Raw genomic sequence first — 23784 nt, forward strand, 5'->3', positions numbered from 1 at the left:
AGCCCTGTCTAAATCCCACAGAAGTTAATATTGCAAATGGCCATCTCCAGTGACCACTTTCTTTCCCAGGTCTATTATGCTAATTGAATTTTCAGATGATAACAGCTGGGAAGTACAGTTTTTGAAAGACAAAATCAGGATCCATGAAGGCTTGGATAGATTGGAATGACAGACTGGGTTTAAGAACATAGACTTTGACAAATCATAAGTACAGGGCTAGGGTAGGGGACTAGAATATCACAGCAGCATGTATTTAAAAAGTAAGAATATGTAAATGAAGTATGAATCAGCTGCCAAAGAGTTATGTTGTCTTAATTCAAAGGGTTCAAAAGGGGAGGTTCAACTATTTTTTTCATTTCTGGATAGCACTCTAAAAATGATATAGAAAAGTGGCAGTTTGAGAAGAGAAGGATCTGTATGGTGAAGGGTCTTGAAACTAAGTTACAATTTGGGATTATTAGCTAGATGATTGCCACGTAGAAATCTCAGGAGAGAGCATGTTAACCATCTTTAGATATATGAAGAGCTATTATGTGAAAGAGGAATTAATGTGACTTGCTTTTTAATGGCCTCAGGGAAGAGTTAAGGTCAATGAATATGTTAGAGGTATGCAGATTTGACCTTAACACAGGAAAGTGTTTCCTAACAGTCATCTGACCAAGGAAGTAGCAAGTTTTCCAGTGTGTGATGTTTCTCAGGCTAAGACTAAAAATTACCCACCTCTTGAAGTATTTTGGTGGTTGGATGGACTCTTGTAACTTCCAACTTTGAGATGCCGTGATTCTAGGAGTTGTCAAGATTCTTCTCTTTCTTCATCCCTCCTCTCTGCAACTTAGTCTCTGTGCTTTCTTTTTTAAAAAAAAAAAAAAAAAAAAACAAGGTAAAATATACATATATAATTTACCATCTTGACCATTTTTAAGTGTATCGTTCAGTGGTAATAAATACATTTATATTATTTATTTGTCTCCTTCATTATCCCCTTCCAGACTTCGGTTTTCTCTTGACCTATGTCTGAAATCCTTTAGGATTTATGACCTATCAAGATCTATAGATTTTTGAATTACTTCCTTCCCCTTAATTTCCTAAGGCAATCCAGAATGTTCTTTATCTTCAAATTTTATTTCAGGAATCAGTTTTTCTTGTTCTTTGATGAGCAGTACTTTGTTTTAAAAGCATAAAGGAACAGAATCTCAACTGCATTCAGCGAGGACAGTGGGTGCAATTAAGGCATGTGTGAGCTTTAGCAACTAGTATTTTTGGGCTAAAAGATGAAAAGTAGGGCATGAAGTCTATTCTCTTGACCAGAGGTTGGCAGATTATTTTAGTAAATATTAGTAAATAGTAAAGGACCAGATAGTAAATATTTTAGTCTTGCAGAACCTCGTAGTCTCTTTCACAGCTACTTAGCTCTGCCAGTTGTAGCATGAAAGCGGCACAGAGGAATGAATATGGCTGAATTCCAGCAAACTGTGTTTATACAACAGGTGGTTGGCCAGATTTGCCCTTTGGGTTATAGTTTGCTACAATTTTAGGTTAGGCCCTACAGAGGCTGTTCCTTTTAAATCCAGAGCTCTTCACAGATAGATGACTTTAAGAATTGCTTATGCCTGAAATAAGATATGGCTGCTTAAGACACATGATTTCCTGATTGTCTGCAGATGAACTTTCATCAGTCTATTTCCTATTTCCATATAACTATAGTGCATCAGAGTTGATTATAGTATATTTTTAAAATATCTAGGAGGAAGTGGTGAAGTTGACTGAGAAATGCCTTAATAATGTCATTGAGAGCCCAGGATTGAATGTCATGAGAGTTCCTCCTGACTTCAAGAGTAACATTTTGAAGGCTCAAGTAGAAGCAGTGCATAAGGTAAGCTGCCTTTGATAGATAGCCCTGGTGAAGTGAAATGAGCATGGGATGTAGAGAGTTGCCTTCCCCAACTCTAAATTCTAATCAAGCTAGATTAATGGTGCAGTCAGGGAGTTAAAAAATAAGAGTAAAGATGCTCAGGGGGATACGAAGGCTAAAAAAGCCAAATTTGTATAGAAGTGAGCCTTCAATGTTTGCCACTTTGATAGCCAGAAAGCCTTGTGATTTTTAAAGCCTTATTTCAGTATTAAATCTATGATTCTAGGTCTGTCTTTATCCATCCACTATTCCCCACAACCCATCTACCCTCAATTTGGCGATATGTTTATGTAATTAGCAAAAAGAGTGAGGTACAAGGTGAAGAGTTGGCTGTGCCATGGTGAAGGATGGAGGGGGTAGGGACTAGCTTCCATGAGAGATGCGGCAGCCTTGTTCTCAAAATCAGCTTTTCCTTGGCTCTCCGTGACTTTCAAACTTACATTCTGTCCTAAAACCAGGACAGAAGCCTGCCTCACTAAGTCAGTTGTCAACTAGGATTTCAAATTCACCTGTTATGGAGAAGATGCAGTTTACCCATCCTGTCCTCAGGTACAAGCCTTGAAGAGACCTGATTGGACTTTAGGAATATTGTTCATGTTCTTTTTCCATTTTCTCCCCAGAATATAAACATGTTTTACAACATATTTACATATAAAATAAATATAAAATATGATAGTATTGACTCTAGAATCTCATTTCTGTTCTACCACCTACTAGCTTTGTGACTTGGGCAAGTTAGTTGATTTCTCTGAGCCACAGTTTAATTATGTATAAAATAGGATAATGGTAGTACCTACCTTAAGCTGGGTTGTAAAGGTGAAATAAGATAATTAAAGGACATGGAATAGTGCCTGGCACATAATGAGCATTTAGAAAGTGTTGACCCTCAATAGTTATAGTAGCAGTAGTAGTAATAGTTATTATTTGCTATGGTCTGAATGGTTGCATACCCCCGCAAAATTTTTATGTTGAAACCTAATCCCCAAAGCCATGGTATTAACAGATGGGGCCTTTGGTAGAGCCCCCAAGAGTAGGATTAGTGCTCTTATAAAAGAGCCTGGAGGGAACTTATTTAACCCTTCAACCATGTGAGGATGCAGTGAGAAGGCGCCATCTATGAGGAATGGGCCCTCACCAAGCACTAATTCTGCCAGTGCCATAATCTTCTGTTTCTCAGCCCCCAGAACTGTGAGGAATAAATATTTGTTATTTATAGGCCACTCAGATTATGTTGTTTTGTTAGAACAGCCTGAATGGACTAAGAAATCATTACCTTACATTTCAGTTATCATTTTGGATCTTTCTTGACTTGAGGAATAGAGAAGTAACATGAGTAACCCTAAAGTAAAGGGATTTGATTTTATAGTGAAAAGACCTTCTCATGAAGAGAAATCCAGGATCAAATACCTTCATTGTGAAATCTACTAAACATTTATGGAAGAAATATTAGCAGTTCTACAAAGTTTTTCAAAAAGATAGAAGAGGAAGGAACACTTCCCAATTCATCTTATGAGACTAGTGTCACCCCAGTACCAAAACCAGAAAAAAAATACAAGAAACTACAGACCACTACTCCTCTTGAACATTAACTTAAAAGTTCTTAACAAAATATATTCAAAACTTTATAAGTAGGATCATACATCATGACCAAGTAGGGTTTATCTTGGGGAAAATGTTGGTTTATCATTCAAAACCCAAGATAGTTCACCATATTAAAAAATACATAAAATTGTCTCAATTCATGTAGAAAAGCATTTCACAAAATTCAACACCTGTTCATGATAAAAACTCTCAGCAAACTAGCAAAAGAATGAAACTCCTTCACTTTGATAAAGAGCATTTATGAACAAAATCTACAACATCATAATTAATGATGAAAGCCACATCCACTGAAATAGCTAAAATTAAACACTGACCATCCCTGTGCTGGTGATGATAGAGCTCCTGTGGTGCACATACATTGCTGGTAAGAACATAAAATTGTATAAACACTTTAAAAGAGTTTGGCAATGCATCAGACATACACATATCATCTAACCCGCAATTACATTCTTAGATATTTGCCCAAGAGAAATCAAAACTCAGGTTAACACAGATGTTAGTACATGAATGTTCCTAGCAGCTTTATATGAAATAGCTAAAAACAGATGATTGTGATGTATCTATACAATGAAATGTCTGAATAAAAAGGAATAAATTAGTGATTTGTACAACAACATGAGTGAATCTCAAAGACATCTCCATGCTGCTCTAAAGAAGCAGATGGAAAGGATAGGTACTGTGATTCCAATTATATGAAACTGTGTAAAGTATAGATCATCATTTACCTCAAATAAGGGTTTTTTCATGGGATTATGTGGGAAGCCTCAAGGGAATATTGAGGCGGGGAGTGGGGGAGATAGTAGAAATGTTACATGATGTTGGCTAAACACTTGTATGCCTTTAAAAAAATTTATTAAACTGTACTTTAAAAAAAATTGGTGCATTATTGATGCCAGGTGCGGTGCCTCATGCCTGTAATCCCACCACCTTGGGAGGCCCAGGCAGGTGGATTACTTGACATCAGGAGAGTTCAAGATTGACTGACCTACATGGTGAAACCATGTCTCTACTAAAAATACAAAAATTAGCCAGGTGTGGTGGCACATACCTGTAATCCCAGCTACTCGGGAGGCTGAGGCAGGAGAATCACTTGAACCTGGGAGGCAGAGGTTGCAGTGAGCTGAGATTGTACCACTGCACTCCAGCCTGGGGGACAGAGTGAGACTCAATCTCAAAAAAAAAATAAAAAATGGGTGCATTATTGAGAACCATCTAGTAAGATTGTGTGAATTTGTATACCAAATAAAAAAAGGAATCTTTGATTATTAATTTAGGTATGGGGTAAGATTGTACTAGGTACACTGCTGGTATTTCCATAGATAAGGTATGATTACCTCTTATTTTAATTAAAGCAAACTGATATTTCTGTTGTTACCAGAAAGAAATGTAAATTTCTTGTTACTTTAGTATCCTCAATAAAGATTTACTTTTTTTAATATTTCATTTTCTTAGGTTACAAAAGAAGATAGCTTATTAAGTCATAAAAATGCCAATGTTCAGGATGCTGCCACAAACAGGTACAGTTCTGGGTAGACTGAATTAAATTGATGTTCTTATCTATCTTTGTCTTTTTTTTCTTCTCAGTCTGTCACCACATGGTTTCAGGATGTCTGTCTGAAAGATAGCTTGAATTCACTCTATTGTATCCATTACAGACCACTTAGTACCTAGTTTTATATTATTTGAAGATGTTCCTAATTAGTCTCCCAACATTCCCATTTATCTTCAACTGATTCGAACCAACAGAGCAGAAACCGTCTTAAAGATATGTGTGATCTTTTCAGTCACCTGGTAAGGAGTGTGTATTATTCTCTTACAGTAAACTTTCATGTCATCCTGTTATCACAATGGCCTTGTTCTTATCAACTTACTTGCCATGGGTTCTCACAGTAATGTAGTTAACTTTCTTTGCTGCTCCCTCCAAGTCTCTTCTGCCCTTGCTCCCTTTAATGAGTATTTTGGCATTTATTTGTCTTGTTAGTTAGGCTTTTATTCCATGCTTTATGGCCATTGACTTTCTTCACCACTGTGAATCTAATGTTCTGTGCTTAGTGTTAAAAAATGTTGAGCAAATAAATGCTGTTTCTTTTTTTACTGTTCAAAACTGATTCAGTCAAGGAATATGATTGTGATTAATCATATTCAGTTCCAGATACCGCAGTCAACATGGCACCACACATAGTATGCATAGTGTATAGCACTTTATATTATAATAGTTAGTACTCAGCAAAAGTACTAATTGGTGATCAGGGTAAAGCTAGAATTACAACTTGACCTTGTAACTAATGCTAATTGCCAGGCACGGTGTCTCAGACCTGTAATCCCAGCACTTTCAGAGGTCAAGGCAGGAGGATCACTTGAGGCCAGCAGTTTGAGACTAGCCTGGGCAAGATAGTGAGATCCTGTCTCTACAATTAAAAATAAAAAATTAGCCGAGCATGGTGATCCACGCTGTAGGCCTAGCTCCTCAAAAGACTGAAGAGGGACAATCTCGTGAGCCCAGGAGTTTGAGGCTGCAGTGAGCTATGATCGCACCACTGCGCTTCATTCTGAGTGACAGAGTGAGACCCTGGTTTTTTTTCTAAGGGGCCAGGCCGTGGTGGCTCACGCCTGTAGTCCCAGCACTTTGGATCGCCTGAGGTCATGAATTCAAGACCAGCCTAGCCAACATGGTGAAACCCGTCTCTACTAAAAATACGAAAATTAGCTGGGCATGGTGGCGCACGCCTGTAATCCCAGCTACTGGGGAGGCCAAGACAGGAGAATTGCTTGAACCCAGGAGGCAGAGGTTGCAGTGAGCCGTGATCGTGCCACTGCACTCCAGCGTGGGCAACAGAGCGAAACTCTGTCTCAAAAAAAAAAAAAAAAAAAAAAGGAAAGAAAATTCTGATAACCACTGTTAGTAATAACATTTTTAGTACTATTGTTATTATTGAAGTCTTTCAGAATAAAATTTTTTGTTTGCCAGGAGAAGGGTAATGGGAACAGGACTGCCCAATGTTCATCAGAAGTTTCATTGAACTCTTGAAGCTGGAAAGAGCCTAGAGCATACATGCAGATTTATTTTTCTAAATGCCTGTTCATATTTTGAAGAATCTATTTTTCCCCTAGGATTTCAAATGCATCCTTTGAAATATACTAGGTTCTTATATAAACATGGGTGTATTTCTAGATCTTTTCCTTCTCTTTTAATCTATTTTCCCCATGCTATACAACACTGTTCTGTTTTACTGTACCTCCTTTTTGAAAATGCAGTATTTTAGGCACAGAGACACTATGGAGAAGTATATAATATACTGTATATAGTATACCTGTATACCAAATATCAAGCTTTGTCACATCTTAACATTTTACCATAATAGATTTAGATCATTTTTCTTTCTTTTTTTTACTGACATAATTCACATACCACAAAATTCACTCTTTAAAAATACACAATTCAGTAATTTTACAAAATTGTGCAACCATTACCACTATAATAAATTCTAGAACATTGTTTGAGAATGTTCTAGAAACACCATAGGTCTAGAAACTCCTTACCCTCACTCCTTACCCTTTCCAGACCTTAGGTAAGGTAGAAACCTTCATACTCACTATAATACTCATCCTAGTTCTCATATATACTCATCCTCATTCTACCTTACCTAAGGTCTTCATACTCACTAGGATGAGTATTATAGTGAGTATGAAGGTTTCTACCTTACCTAAAGTCTGCAAACACTTTACCCATTAGCAGTCACTCCATATTCTGCTTCTTGCCCAGCACCTGGCAACCACTAATCTACTTTGTCTCTGTGGATTTACCTACTCTGGACAGTTTATGTCAATGGAATTATACGTGTCCTTTTGTGTCTGGCTTCTTACATTCAACGTAATATTTTCCAGATTTGTCCATATTGTAGCATATGTTGGTACTTTGTCCCTCCTTATGGCTAAATAATATTTCATTATATAGATATACAACATTTATTTATCCATATATCAGTTGATGGACATTTGAATTGTTTCCACTCTTTAGCTATTGTGAACAAAGCTAGACGTGAATATTTGCATACAAATTTTTTTTTGTAAATATACTTTCAGTTCTCCTTAGTATATACCTAGGAGTAACACCATTTCTCCTCAGTCATATGGTAACTCTATATTTAACTTTCTTAAGAACTGCCAAATGTCTTCCAAAATGGCCGTAACATTTTTCATTCTTACCAGCAATGTATGAGGATTCCAATTTCTCCGTGTCATTGACAGTGCTTATTATTCTCCTTGTTTATTATACTCATCCTAGTGAGTATAAAGTGTGTCTCATCTCATTGTGGTTTGATTTGCATTTACCTAAGGACTAATGATGTTGAACATCCTTTCGTGTATGTCTATTTGGAGAAATGTCTATTCAGATCATTTATTTTTGTAGTAACAGCTTCATTGATAAATTTGATTCAAATACCACACAATTCATCCATTTAAAGTGTGCAATTCAATAGTTTTTGGTACATTTTTGTACATTTAGTACATTCTGTATTTAGTACATACAACCACCATCAGTAACAAATTTCAGAATATTTTCGTCACCTCAAAAAGAAATCCCCTGCTCTTTAACTGTAACCCCATCTACCCTGCACTGCCTTTCCCCTAACCCTGAGGAAGTACTTTTCTACTTTCTGTCTCTATAGATTTACCTATCTGGACATTTCATATAAATGATACTCTGTAATATGAGGTCTTTTGTGTCTGGCTTCTTTCACTTAGCATAATGTTTCCAGGGTCATCCATACTGTACTATTATGTATCAGGACTTTATTTCCTTTTATGGCTGTATAATATTTCATTGTATGGATATACCACAGTTTGTTTATTCATCTGTTGATAGACATTTAGATTGTTTCCACCTTTTGACTGTTAGGAATATTGCAGCTATGAATAGTCATGTACAATTTTGTGTTTGAACACCTGTTTTTCAGTTACACATCTAGAGTAGAATTCCGGAGTCATACGGTAATTCTGCTTTTAACCTTTTAAGGAACTGCCAAACTGTTTTCTACAACCACTGCACCATTTTCTATTTCTCCCAGTAATGAGTGAGGGTTTTTATTTCTTTACACTCTCATGGTATTTCACTGTACTTTTTTTTTTTTTTTTTTTTGAGACAGGGTCTTGCTCTGTCACCCAGGTTGGAGTGCAGTGGCACAAGCACAACTCATTGCAGCCTCAAACTTAGGCTCAAACGATCCTCCCACCTGAGCTTCCTTAGTAGCAGGGACTACAGGCACATGCCACCATGCTCGGCTAAGTTTTTTTTCATTTCTGGGAGAGACAAGGTGTCACTGTGTTGCCCAGGCTGGTCTTCGAACTCCTGAGCTCAAGCGAGCCTCCCATCCCAGCCTTCCAAAGTGCTGAAATTACAGGTGGGAGCCACCACACCCAGCCTCAGTGTACTTTTGATTTGCATTTCTCTAATGATTAAGAATGTTGGGGATTTTTTCATGTGTTTGTTGGCCATTCGTGTAACTTCTTTGGATAAATGTCTATTCAAGTCCTTTGCTCATTTTTTATTTTATTTTCTTATTTTTTAGAGACATTATTGCTCAATCACCCAGGCTGGAATGCAGTGGCACAATCATAGCTCACTGTAACCTTGAACTCCTGGGCTTAAGTGATCCTCCTGCCTCAGCCCTCTGAGTAGCTAGGATTACAGGCACACACCACCCTGCCCAGCTAATTTAAAAAAAAAAAGTTTATTTTATTTTATTTTTTTAGAGATGGGGTCTCACTAAGTTGCTCAGACTGGTCTCAAGCTCCTAGCCTCAGGCAATCCTCTTACCTTGGCCCTAAAAAGTGTTGGGATTACAGGTGTGACCTACTGTGCCTGCCCACCCCATTTATTTTTATTTCTTTTTTTTTTCTAATCCCATGACAGATTACCCATTTTTAAATTGGGTTTACTTTATTGTTGAATTGTAGGAGTCCTTGATTGAATATCAATTCTTAATACTAGACTCTTACCGAATACATGATTTGAAAATATTTTTTCCCATTCTGTGGATTGTCTTTTCACTTTCTTAGTGATCAGCCTTTTGATGCATAAAAATTCTTTGTTTTGACGAAGTCTAATTTATCTACTTTTCTTAGGTTGTCTGTGCTTTTAGTGTTTTATATAAGAAACCATTGTGAAATTCAAGATCATAATGATTAACAGTTGCATAGCTTTGGCTAGAACTTCCAGTATAGGAAACATATTTAGATCTTCTGTCTATTTTCAGTTAATTTTTTCAGCTGGGCATGGTGGCTTATGCCTGTAATCCAGGCTGATGTGGGAGTATTGCTTGAGCCCAGGAGTTCGAGACCACCCTGGCTAACACAGTGAAACCCTGTCTCTACTCAAAATACAAAAAATTAGCCGGGTGCCTGTAGTCCCAGCTACTCGGGAGGCTAAGGCAGGAGAATGGCGTGAACCTGGGAGGCGGAGCTTGCAGTGAGCCGAGATCACGCCACTGCACTCCAGCCTGGGCGACGGAGCGAGACTCCATCTCAAAAAATAATAATAATAATAATAATGCAGAAAAAAACCTATTAGATCTAATAAACTCAGCACAGTTGCAGAATACAAGATAAATACACAAAAATCAGTTGTATTTCTATACACTAGCAGTGAACAGTTTGAAAACAAAATTAACAACTATGTTACAACAGCATAAAAGATTTAAAAACCTAGGAAACAATTTAACCAAGGAGGCAAAAGACTTGTACACTGAAAACTACAAAACACCACTGACCTCATGATCCACCCACCTCGGCCTCCCAAAGTGCTGGGATTACAGGCAGGAGCCACTGCGTCTGGCCCTTTTTTTTTTTTTTTTTTTTTTAAAGACGGAGTCTTGCTCTTGTCACCCAGGCTGGAATGCAATGGCGCGATTTTGGTTCACTGCAGCCTCTGCCTCCTGGGTTCAAGCGATTCTCCTGCCTCACCCTCCTGAGTAGCTGGGATTACAGGCACCTGCCACCATGCCCAGCTAATTTTTGTATTTTTAGTAGAGATGGGGTTTTACCATGTTGGCCAGGCTAATCTTGAACTCCTGATCTCAGGTAATCGGCCCGCCTCGGCCTCCCAAAGTGCTGAGATGACAAGTGTGAGCCACCACACCCAGCTGGTTTTTTCTGCATTCTATAAGATTTTCTATATACATGATTATGGCATCTGTGAATAGCGATAGTTTTACTTCCTTATTTCCAGTTGGGAAGTTTTTATTTCTTTTTCTTACCTGATTGCTTTGGCTAGAACTTCCAGTACAGTGTTGAACAGAAGAGACAAAAACTGACATTCTTATTTTATTCCTGAAAGGGATAAAGGGAAAGCTTTCAGTCTTTCACCATTGAGTGTTGTGTGTATGTTTTTCATATATGCCCTTTACCATACTGTGGAAATTCCATTCTATTCTGTTTGTTTTTATCATGAAAAAGTGTTGCATTTTTGTTATATGCTTTTTCTGCATCAGTTGAGATGCTCATCAATTGAGATTTTTTCCTTCTTTCTGTTAATATGGTGTGGTTTTCTGATGTTGAACCACTCTTGTGAACTTCTAGAACAAATCCTACTTGGTCATGTTATATAAGCTTTTTAATATTCTTCTCGATGCAGTTTGATAACATTTTTTTTAGGACTTTTGTATATATATTCATCAGGGATATTGGTCTGTAGGTTTCTCCAACTCCTGGCCTTAAGCAGTACTTCTACCTCAGCCTCCCAAATTGCTGGGGATTATAGCTGTGAGCCACCATGCCTGGCTGGTTTGTAATTTTCTTACAATGTCTTTATTTGACTTTGGTGACAGGGCAATAGTGTTGGCCTCATAGCATGATTTAGGAAGTGTTCCTTCTTCTGCTGTGTTTTGGAAGAGATTGAGAAGGATTATTGTTAATTCTTTAAATATTTGGTAGAATTCACCAGTGAAGCTATGGTCCTGGGCTTTTCTTTGTTGGAAAGTTTTTGATTACTGATTCAATCTCTTTACTTGTTGTAAGTCTATTCAGATTTTCCATTTCGTCTTAAGTCAGTTTTGGTAATTTGTTTTCAGGAATGTTTGCATTTCACCTAGGTGATTTAATTTACTGGAGTAAATTGCTCATAGTATTTTCTTCAAATCCTTTTTATTTGTTTTTTACTGAGAGGTTTCACCCTTTTTAATTTCTGATATTAGTTGAATCTTTTCTTCCTCATAAGTCTAGCTAAATATTTGTCAATCTTGTTGATCTTTCAGTGGACTAACTTTTGGATTTAAGTTTTTCTTAAGTTCTTTGTTTTTCTAGTTCCTTAAGGTGTAAAGTTAGGTTATTGATTTTAAGATCTTATTTTTAAATGTAGGGATTTACAGCTATAAATTTTATTCTGAGCGTTGCTTTTGCTGCATTTCAAATATTTTGGTATTTTTTTCATTCATCTCAAATTATTTTCTAATTTCCCTTGTGATTTCTTCCTTTATTGTTTTTTGAGAATGTTTTATTTAATTTCTGTATTTATGAATTTTCCAGTTTTCCAATTAAGTTATTTATAATTTCATTCATTATGGTAAGAGAAGATATGTGGTATGACTTTAGTCTCTTTAAATGTATTGAGATTTGTTTTGTGGCCTAACACATGCAGTCTAGTAGAGAATGTTTTGTATGTTCTTGAGAAGAAGGTACATGTACATTCTGCAGTTATTAGGTGGAGTGTTCTATATATGTTCATTAGGGCTCATTGGTTTATATTATTGTTTAATTCTATTTCCTTATTGATCTTTTCTCTGGTTGTTCTACCCATAATGATGAATGGAAGTGAAATATTTAAATATCAAGTTACTATTATAGAATTGTCTATTTTCCCCCCTCAGTTCTTTACATATTTTGCTTCATATATTTGGGTCTCTGTTGATAGTTCTGTATATGTTTGTAATTGTTATATCTTCTTGATGGATTGAATCTTTTATCAATGTATAATGTGTCTCTTTGTCTTTTGTCCTTTATCTTTTGATTTGAAGTCTATTTGTCTGATATTAGTATAGCAACCACAGCTGTCTTTTGGTTACTATTTGCATTGAATATCTTTTTCTGTCTTTTCAGTTTCAATCTATTCACATCTTTGGATCATAGTGAGGCTTGTAGATAACATACAGATGGATCATTTTAAAAAATTCTTTCTGCCACTCTCTACCATCGTAATTTTACTTTAATCCACTTACATCTAAAGTGATTACTGATAAAGGACTTCTTCCATTGTAGTATTTGTTTTCTGTATGTCTTTTGTCAATTTTGTTCCTCAGTTTCTCCATTACTGTCTTCTTTGTTTAACGTTTTTTTTTTTCATGAGCATACCCCTTGATTTCCTTTGCATTTCCTTCCCTATATGTATTTATTTATTTATTTATTTTTTGAGACCAAGTTTCACTCTTGTTGCCCAGGCTGGAGGGCAGTGGCACAATCTTGGCTCACCGCAACCTCTGCTTCCCGGGTTCAAGCGATTCTCCTGCCTCAGCCTCCCGAGTAGTTGAGATCACAGGCATGCACCACCATGCCCGGCTAATTTTTTTTTTTGTATTTTTAGTAGAGACAGGGTTTCTCCATGTTGGTCAGGCTGGTCTCGAACTCCCGACCTCAGGTAATCTGCCCGCCTCAGCCTCCCAAAGTGCTGGGATTACAGGCATGAGCCACTGCACCCGGCCCCTTCCCTATATTTAAAAATTTATCCCTTAGTGGTTATTTTGGAATCAAATTAGCATCTTATACAGCCTAGTTTGAATTAATACTATATATAGCTTCAATACTCTGCAAAACCTTTGTTCTCCTGTATGTGTGTGTTTCTGCCCCTTTATTTTGTTATTGTCACAAATTACATGTTTATGGGCCAGGCGTGGTGGCTCACGCCTGTAATCCCAGCACTTTGGGAGGCTGAGGTGGGCAGATCACGAGGTCAGGAGATCAAAACCATCCTGGCTAACATGGTGAAACCCCGTCTCTGCTAAAAATACAAAATATTAGCCGGGCGTGGTGGCGGGTGCCTATAGTCCCAGCTACTCGGGAGGCTGAGGCAGGAGAATGGCGTGAACCTGGGAGGCGGAGCTTGCAGTGAGCCGAGATCGTGCCACTGCAGTCCAGCCTGGGCGACAGAGCAAGACTCCATATCAAAACAAAAAAAAAATTGCATATGTACACATTGTGGGCCTATTAAAGTTAATTTGTAATTGTTTTATGTATTTATCGTTTAAATAATAGTGGAATAAAAGAGAAGTTATACCCAAATTGTAAAATACTTACTTTTATGCTTACCTGTTTAATTACCTTTACCAGTAATTTTCTCTATTTTTCTTTATATGGTTTCGAGTTACTGGGTAGTATTCTTTTCTTTCAGCTTGAAGATTCCCTTTAGCATTTTATGTAAGGAATATCTACCTGTAAGAAACTTTCTTGGCTTTTGTTTATCTGAGAATGTCTTAATTTCGCCTTCATTCTTGAAGGTTAGTTTTGTTGAATATAGAATTCTTAGTTGACAGGGTACTTTCTTTCAGTGCTTTTAAATATGTCATCCCATTGCCTTCTGGTCTGCATGGTTTCTAATGAGAAGTTGGCTTTTACTCTTATGAGGATCCTTGTACATGATGAGTCGTTTCTGTCTTGCAACTTTCGAGAATCTCTCTTTGTTTTTGTCTTTTGACAGTTTAATTAATATGTCTGTTGGGGATCTCTTGAGTTTATCCTGTGGAGTTCATTGAGCTTCTTAGATGTGTAGATTCATGTCTTTTATCAAACCTATTGAATTTTCAAGTATTATTTATTCAAATAATCTTTCTATCCCTTTCTCTTCTCCTTATAGAACTCCTGTAATACGTATATTAATATGCTTGATTATGTCCCACAAGTTTCTCAAGCTCTGCTCATTTTTTTCATTATTTTTTCTTTCACCTCCTGATACTGAATAATCTCAGTTAACCTGTCTTTAAGTTCACTGACTATTCTGCCTGCTTGAATCTGCTATTGAAATCCTCTAGTGATTTTTTTATTAAAAAAAAAAAATGGAGACACAGAAGCTGGGCAGCCTCCATGGGGCTTCCACACACTGGGGCTTGCTTCCGGCCCCCAGCGACTCCAAGGGGATGAGTGAATTTAACTGGCAAGGAGCAATCTGCTGTCACCCTGGGCCTCTGGAATCCTGGCAGGAAGAGGCCCCACGACCACCACGGACACTCGAGTTGCAGGGAAAGCTGCTTAGAGAAGTGGTGGGGCAGCAAGCCAGCTGATGTGGAGCCCAGAGGGTTTGGTGCAGGAGCATCTATTGTGGAGCATGGCCAAGGACAGCCATCCCCCTAGGGTCAACTTGCTCCCATAGGAAACTTTAGCCCGAGGAGAACTATCAGACCTGAACTCTGCAGGGCGATCTTGTCCATCAGGTAGGGCTGCTCTGAACTGAGCACCCCTTGGTCTGATGGTCCCCCAGGACCCCAGCCTGGCCATACCTGCTTGCCGGGAAGCCTCTGGCGTCCTTGGAGCCAGCATCCTGGCTTTTGCACTGGCAGACTGTGCCTGACTTGCAGAGAGTTCCTGTAGGGCGGTCCCCACGGCCATGCACCAGCCTGCCCACTCCCTCCCCACACTTCAGCTTCCCCCTGGGGCTACAGCAGTGCCCCACATCGCTTTGCTAGCATGTGTGTGCATGGGCTGGCTTTGTTTCCTTGCCCCACCAGTGCACCTATGTCCATGCACCCTGCCCTGCCACTGCTGCAGCAGGAGGGCATGTCTCTCCCGTGTCCCATCAACTGCCACTGCAGTCACAACCTTGGCAAGCACAGGGCCAGCCAGCACTGTGGCAGGAGTGAAAATAGGCATGGAGAACAGCAGATTCTCCCCCATCACGAGCAACCACCCCTGCCTGCAGTGCACAGAGAAAGCACACAGACCTGTATTACATAACAGTAAAGGGTTCAGTTCAACAAGAAGAACTAACTATCCTAAATATATATGCACCCAATACAGGAGCACCCAGACTCGGAAAGCAAGTTCTTAGAGACCTTCAAATAGACTTATACTCCCACACAGTAATAGTGGGAGACGTCAACAGCCCACTGATAGTATTAGACACATCATCGAAGCAGAAAATCAACAAAGATATTCAGGGCCTGAATTCAGCACTGGGTCAAATGGACCTAATAGACATCTACAGAACTCTCCACCCCAAAATAACAATATACATTCCTCTCATCACTGCATGGCACATACTCTAAAGTTGATTACATAATCGAACATAGAGTATTCCTCAGCAAATGTAGAAGAACTGAAATCAGAACAGCCACTCTCTCAGACTACAGCACAATCAAATTAGAAATCAAAACTAAGAAATTCTCTCAAAACCATACAGTTACATGGAAATTAAATAACCTGCTCCTGAATGGCTTTTGGGTATATAATAAAAATAAGGCAGAAGTCAAGAAGTTACTTGTAGCTAGTGAGAACAAAGATATGACATACCAGAATCCCTGGGACACAGCTAAGGCAGTGTTAAGAGGGAAATTTATAGCACTAAATGCCCACATCAAAAAGTTAGAAAGATCTCAATTTAACAACCTAATATCACAACTAAAAGGACTGGAGAACCAAGAGAAAACCAACCCCAAAACTAACAGAAGATAAGAAAAAAAAAAATTAGAGCTGAACTGAAGGAGATCAAGACACAAAAAAACACTCAAAAAATGAGGCTGGGCATAGTGACTCAATGGCTGTAATCCCAGCAGTTAGGAAGGTGGAGGCAGACGGATCACTTGAGACCAGGTGTTCAAGACCAGCCTGACCAACATGGCAAAACTCCATCTCTACTAAAAATATAAAATTAGCTGGGCGGGGTGGCGCATGCCTGTTATCCCAGGTACTTCAGACGCTGAGGCACAAGAATAGATTGAACCTGGGAGGCGGAGGTTGCAGTGAGCCGAGATTGCAGCACTGCACTCCAACCTGGGAAACGGAGTGAGACCCTGTCTCAAAAAAAAAAAAAAAAAAATCCAAAAAAACCACAAAAGATCAATGAATCCAGGAGTTGCTTTTTTGAAAAAATAATAGACCGCTAGGTAGACTAATGAAGAAAAGAGAGAGGATCTAAATAAACACAATCAGAAACAACAAAGGGGATATTACCACTGACCCCATAGAAATACACATAACTATCAGAGAATATTACCAAACACCTCTATGCACATAAACTAGAAAATCTAGAAGAAATTAATAAATTCCTGGACACACACACTCTCCCAAGGCAGCCAGGAAGAAATTGAAACCTGAACAGACCAATAATGAGCTCCAAAATTGAATCAGTAGTAAACAGCCTACCAAACAAAAAAAGCCCAGGATTAGATGGATTCACAGTTGAATTCTACCCAATGTGCAAAGAAGTGCTGGTACCATTACTGCTGAAACTATTTCAAAAAATTGAGGAGGAGGGACTCCTCCATAACTCATTCTGTGAAGCCAGCATCATCCTGATACGAACACCTGGCAATGACACAACAAAGAAAGAAAACTTCAGGCCAGTATTCTTGATGAACATCAATGCAAAAGTCCTCAACAAAATACGGGCAAACTGAATCCAGCAGCACATCAGTCCACCACAATCAAATAGCTATACCCCTGGGATGCAAGGTTGGTTCAGCATATGAAAATCAATAAATGTGATTCATCACATAAACAGAAATAAAGACAAAAACCACATTATTATCTCAATAGATGCAGAAAAGGCTTTTGACAAAATTCAACACTGCTTCGGGTTAAAAACTCTCAATAAAAGAAGTATTCAAGGAACATACCTCAAAATAATAAAAGCCATCTCTGACAAACCCACAGCCAACATCATACTGAATGGGCAAAAGCTGGAAGCATTCCCCTTGAGAACTGGCACAAGACAAGGATGCCCTCTCTCACCACTCCTATTCAACATAGTATTGGAAGGCCTAGCCAGAGCAATCAGGCTGGAGAAAGAAATAAGGGGCATCCAAATAGGAAAAGAGGAAGTCAAATTATCTCTGTTTCCAGACGACATGATTCTATATCTAGAAAACCCCATAGTCTCAGCCTAAAAGCTCATTAAGCTGATAAACAACTTCAGCAAAGTCTAAGGATACAAAATCAGTGTACAAAAATCACTAGCATTCCTATACACCAACAATAGTCAAGCTGAGAGCCAAATCAGGAACGCAGTCCTATTCACAATTGCCATAAAAAGAATAAAATACCTAGGATTTTCTTGGTTTCCAGGGAAGTGAAGGATCTCTACAAGGATAACTACAAAACACTGCTTAAAGAAATCAGAGATGACACAGACTAATGGAAAAACATTCCATGCCCATGGATAGAATCAATATTGGCTGGGTGCAGTGGCTCACTCCTGTAATCCCAGCACTTTGGGAGGCCGAGGCGGGTGGATCACGAGGTCAGGAGATCGAGATCATCCTGGCTAACACAGTGAAACCCCGTCTCTACTAAAAAAAAAAAAAACAGCCGGGTGTGGTGGCAGGTGCCTGTAATCCCAGCTACTCGGGAGGCTGAGGCAGGAGAATGGAGTGAACCTGGGAGGTGGAGCTTGCAGCAAGCCGAGATCGCGCCACTGCACCCCAGCCTGGGTGAACCTAGGGAGACTCCATCTCAAAAAAAAAAAAAAAAAAAAGTGACAATCAATATCATTAAAATGGCCATATTGCCCAAAGCAATTTATAGATTCAATGCTATTTCTGTTAAACTACTGATAACATTCTTCACCGAACTAGAAGAAACTATTTAAAAATTCATATGGAACCAAAAAAAAGCCCAAATAGCCAAGGCAATCCTAAGGAAAAAGAAGTAGCTGGAGGCATTATGCTATCTGACTTCAAACTGTACTCCAGGGCTACAGTAACCAAAACTGCATGTTGCTGGTATAAAAACAGACACATAGACCAATGGAACAGAATAGAGAGCCCAGAAATAGTGCCACACACCTACAACTATCTGATCTTTGACAAAGCTGACAGAAACAAGCAATGGAGAAAGGCTTCCCTATTCAATAAATGGTGCTGGCAGACTGGATTTTTAAAATGTGGTATGTACACACCTTGAAATACTGTGCAGCCATAAAAAAGAATGAAATAGAATGAAATTGTGTCCTTTGCAGAAATATGGGTGGAGCTGGAGGCCATTATCCTTAGCAAACTAACACAGGAACAGAAAACCAAATACTGCGTAAAGTGGGAGCTAAATGATGAGAACACGTGGACACATAGAGGTGAAAAACAGACAGTGGAGCCTGTTAGAAAATAGAGCACAGGAGGAGGGAGAGGAGCACAAAAAATAACTAATGGGTACTAGGCTTAATACCTGGCTGACAGAATAATCTGTACAACAAATTCCAATGATACAAGTTTACCTGTATAACAAACCTGCACATGTACCTCTGAAGTTAAAAAAAAATTATACTTTTCGGCTTCAAAGTTAATTCCTTTTTATAATTTTTCTTAATATTCTATATTTGTTGGTACATTGTTTTCTTGGTTTCCTTTACTTCTTTGTCCACAGCTTCCTTTAACTTTTTAAAATATTGATGCACTATAGATGTACTTTGTTTCAGGGTACATGTGACAATACGTTAAGCACTTGGGCACTTAGGTCAGTTCCATATTTTGACTGTAGTGAGTAGAGCTGCAATGAGAATGAGAGGCAGATGTCTTTTTGATATATTGATTTTCTTTCTTTTGGATGTTTACCCATTAGTGGAATTGCTGAACCATATGGTCATTCTCTTTTTAGTTTTTGAGGAACCTCCATACTGTTCTTTAAAGTTGCTGTACTAATTTACATTCCCACCAGCAGCGTAAGAGGGTTACCCTTTCTATGGGTCCTCACCAGCATCTGTTATTGCCTATCTTTTTTATTAAAAAACCATTTTAACTGGAGCGAGATGATGTCTCATCATAGTTTGGATTTACATTTCCCTGATGATTTTGAGCATTTTTTCATATACCTTCCCCTACATGAATTTGTTGCACTTCTTTCCTAAGCCCTTTCTTTGAAAATCCTGCCTGTACCTGTACAGGTCCTACATGATGTGAATTTATCTTTTTCTTCCTAGTGCTGTGTTAAATGAGAATAATGTGCCCCTCCCCAAAGAGTCTCTTGAGACTCTGATGCTTATCACACCTGCCGACAGTGGTTCTGTTCTAAAGGTAAGAATACTTTTACTTCTTAAAATTTTTGCCAAAGACAGTTTTGAATTGAATCTTGCAGTATAACCAAGGGCATCTAGTGATTACTGAGTGACACTGGGACTTAAGATGTGAGAAGAGCAGCCGAGCACAGGGGCTCACACCTATAATTCCAGCACTTTGGGAGGCCGAGGCATGTGGACCACTTGAGCTCAGGAGTTCAAGACCAGCCTGGGCAACATGGCAAAACCTGTCTCTACCAATAATACAAAAAATAAGCTGGGCATGGTGGCATGTGCCTATGGTCCCAGCTTCTCAGGAGGCTGAGACAGAAGGATTGCTTGAGCCTGGGAGGTGGAGATTGCAGTGAACTGAGATCACACTACTGCACTCCAGCCTGAGTAATACAGTGAGACTGTCTCAAAAAAAAAAAAAAAAATGTGATAAAAGCATTGAGCCACAGTTCTCTAGGGAGAATCCTGTTGCCACACTACTCACAAGAGGATCTTAGGGTTTCTTCTCCAGTTTGTATGTACTTTGTTTATATTTTGGGGGTGGTTTTGAATGTTGGCTATGCTTTCACTCATTTCCTTTTAAGATACAGTGTTGCATGCAAATAGGGACTAAGTGCTTCTTAGATGAAAGAATTAAGGGATCTTTTTGAATTAGTAGTTTCATTTACTCTAGGGCATGGGTCCCCAATTCCTGTGCTTCGGACCGGTACTGGTCCATGGCCTGTTAGGAACTGGGCCACACAGCAGGAGGTGAGCTGCAGACAACCATTGTCGCCTGAGTTCCACCTCCTCTCAGATCAGCTGTGGTGTTAGATTCTCATAGGAGTGCAAACCCTACTGTGAACTGTGCACACGAGGGATCTAGGTTGCTCACTCCTTATAAGGATCTAATGCCTGATGATTTGAGGTGGAACAGTTTCATCTCAAAACCATACCCCACCCCCAAACCTGGTCCTTGGAAAAATTGTCTTCCACAAAACTGGTCCTTGGTGCCAAAAAGGTTGGGGACTGCTGCTCTAGGGAATGTAAGCTGTGTGAGAGACACCTGTTTTGTTCATTGCTGTATCCCTCAGGCTGGTCTCAAACTCCTGCCTTCAAGCAATTCTACTACCTTGGCCTCGCAAAGTGCTGGGATTATAGGCAGCCTAAGTGTCTCCAATAGTACCTGGTACATAATAGGCATGAAATATTTGTTGATTGACACAAACTTTTTGAAATAACAGGGACCTATCACTATCACTAATTGCACTGCAGCATAACCAGCTCATCCCAACTTCTGCCTTTTCTGTATCCACTCGCTAAACCCTTAACAATTCAGAAATCATAGAAACCCAGTTTATTGCCAATGAATGTTTTAATTTGCAAGTTAAATTAAAAATTGCCCTTGCATGAACACTTACCATTTGTCTTTTTTATTGCATAATGTACATCTGTTGTAATTTGCCAAATACCTCACAAAAAGGAAAAATTAAAGATCACTTGTATTCTCACTACTCAATGAAAGTGTATAGTTGGTATTTAGGTATATAAGTATCTTTCAGATTTTTAGGGTTAAAGAAAAAACCCAACCTAAAATATCTTCAATCAGGCATTTCTTTTCTGCTGATGAAAATCTGAAAAGATACATTGACTAATCATTGGAAATCATTAAGCAGAACCTGAGATGTTTTTGAAGCAGAGAAGGACATTTAGTTCAAAGATTTATTGCATATATAGTATGTACCAGACAACTTGTTAAGCATTAAAGATTCAAAAATGAATGAATGAAACATGGTCTCAGCTTAACTGCATATAGTCTAGTGGGAGAGAGAATCGTAATACATTGTGGTAGACTTGCACAAGCTGTTATGGTGCACTTAGTCCAGGCAGCAGGGTGGGAAGATGCGAGAGGAGAGAACAGTTTTTCATGTTTTTGTGATTTAAATTAAGTTGCACGTTGAAATATGAATAGGAGATTCTCCAAGACCTGAAGGCATATAAGCAGAAATGGAAATGTGTAAATGGGTGGCTAAGTGTGGTGGCTCATGCCTATAAGCCAGCACTTTGGGCCAAGGCGGTAAGATGGTTTGAGGCCAGGAGTTTGAGATGAGACTGGGCAACATAGGGAGACCCCGTCTCTACAAAAAATTTTTTAAAAATTAGCCAGGCATAGTTTGGCATGCCTGTAGTCCTATCTTCTTGGGCAGCTGATGTGGGAGGATAGTGTAAGCCCAGGAAATTCAGGCTGCAGTGAGCTATGATTGTACCATTACACTCCAGCCTGGGTGACAGAGCAAGACCGTGTCCCTCTGCCCCCCCCCCCCCCAAAAAAAGAAAGAAATGTATGAATGAAGGGCTCTTTTTTGTTGTGTGCTATGCCCTAGGTTCCTATTGTTTATTGCCAGATTGGCATTTTATCTTTTGTTGTTTTAAAATTCTCCCAGACCCCCTCCCTCACAGTAGAGAATTGTGTCCTTTATAAGGTACTTCAAATACTGGTTAAACAAAAAGTATTAACATTTATAGGGAGAGAGTTCATATTGTATTATTTTACAAACAGAAGCACCCATAAGTCTAGATAAAGGAGCATTTGGAATTTAGGCACCTCCTTTATCCAGTATCTCCTGTGCTGAACCTGTTACTGGTTTTTTTTTTTTTTTTTTAAGTTCAAAGTATGATATTACCATACAGAGTAGTACCATTCTCATCTAGTCTAAAAGTTAAAAGGCTGGGCACAGTGGCTCACACCTGTAATCCCGGTGCTTTGGGAGGCCAGGGTAGGAGGATCACTTGAACCCAGGAGTTCAAGACCGGCCTGGGCAACATAAGTGAGACCCTGTCTCTATAAAAAAAAAATTGGCTGGGCATGGTGGTGCACACCTGTAGTCCCAGCTACTTGGGAGGCTGAGGTGGGAGGATTGCTTGGGCCCAGCATTTTGGGGCTGCGGTGAGTTATGCTTGTGCCAGTGCACTTCAGCCTGGACAGGGCAAGATCTTGTCTCAAAACAACTTTTTTTTATTTTTTTGTATTTACTTTTTTTTTTTTTTTTTTTTGAGATGGAGTCTTGCTCTGTCGCCCAGGCTGGAGTGCAGTGGCGCGATCTCGGCTCACTGCAACCTCCACCTCCCGGGTTCATGCCATTCTCCTGCCTCAGCCTCTCGAGTAGCTGGGACTATAGGTGCCCGCAACCACGCCCAGCTAATTTTGTGTATTTTTAGTAGAGACGGAGTTTCACCGTGTTAGCCAGGAGTGCCCGGCTGTATTTACTTTTTTAAAATTTGTTTTGAGGCAGAATCTCACTCTGTCATCCAGGCTGGAGTACGGTGGTGTAATCTTGGCTCACTGCAGCCTCTGTCTCCTGGGCTCAAGTGATCTTCCCACCTCAGCCTCCTGAGTAGCTGGGACTACAGCTGAGTGCTACTGTGCCCAGCTTAGCTCAGTTTTTGTAAAGATGAGGTCTCACTATATTGCCCAGGCTGGTCTCAAACTCCTGGGCTCAAGGGATCCTCCCGCCTTGGCCTCTCAGAGCGCTAGGATTACAGGTGTGAGCCACTGCATCCAGCCAAAATAATTTTTTTGTAATTAAAAAGAAAAAGTTAAGAGCCAGAATAGTCATAACCCTACCCAAGTTTTGTCTTACCAAAGGAGAATAGCTATTTGAAAATTTACATAGCACTTCAGCTTTTTCACATCCTGATTGTAGTATAGGTTTCCCTCCATGCAGAAGTGGAATCATTAACAACCATGATTTATGAGTGTCCCTGTGTATTTAAAGGATTAACACTAATCAGGCCTGTGTCAGAATTATAAATTGAGAGGATATGGAAAAAACTTAACATCTGATGATAAAGGGGTCATTTAACAATTCTAGATTCCTGTCTTCCATAGGAAGCTACAGATGAATTGGATGCCTTGCTTGCATCTCTAACTGAGAATCTAATTGATCACACAGTTGCACCTCAGGTAAATATGCTTTAAAATAGTATGATGGAAAGAAATTTCTGTTTTGAAAAATGTTCCTGCTAGATTCCAGTTTTTTCCTTTTTAATAATTCAGTTAAACTTTTCATTTGATAAGAGTTTATGTTTTAATAAC

General features: G+C 39.1%; 1 protein-coding gene across 8 annotated transcripts in view; it reads left to right on the forward strand.

The window, feature by feature from the left end:
* Window positions 1-23784, forward strand: part of EPB41L5 (erythrocyte membrane protein band 4.1 like 5) — a 166043-nt gene that overhangs the window by 128182 nt on the left and 14077 nt on the right. For all 8 annotated transcript variants that reach the window (XM_047445208.1, XM_047445210.1, XM_006712651.2 and 5 more), the window contains 4 exons: window positions 1745-1873; window positions 4967-5031; window positions 19623-19716; window positions 23578-23652. In XM_047445208.1, coding sequence (XP_047301164.1) covers window positions 1745-1873; window positions 4967-5031; window positions 19623-19716; window positions 23578-23652 — 363 coding nt within the window. The remainder of the gene's footprint in view (window positions 1-1744; window positions 1874-4966; window positions 5032-19622; window positions 19717-23577; window positions 23653-23784) is intronic.

The sequence above is a fragment of the Homo sapiens genome, chromosome 2 (assembly GCF_000001405.40).
Source record: "Homo sapiens chromosome 2, GRCh38.p14 Primary Assembly".
Taxonomy (NCBI): domain Eukaryota; kingdom Metazoa; phylum Chordata; class Mammalia; order Primates; family Hominidae; genus Homo; species Homo sapiens.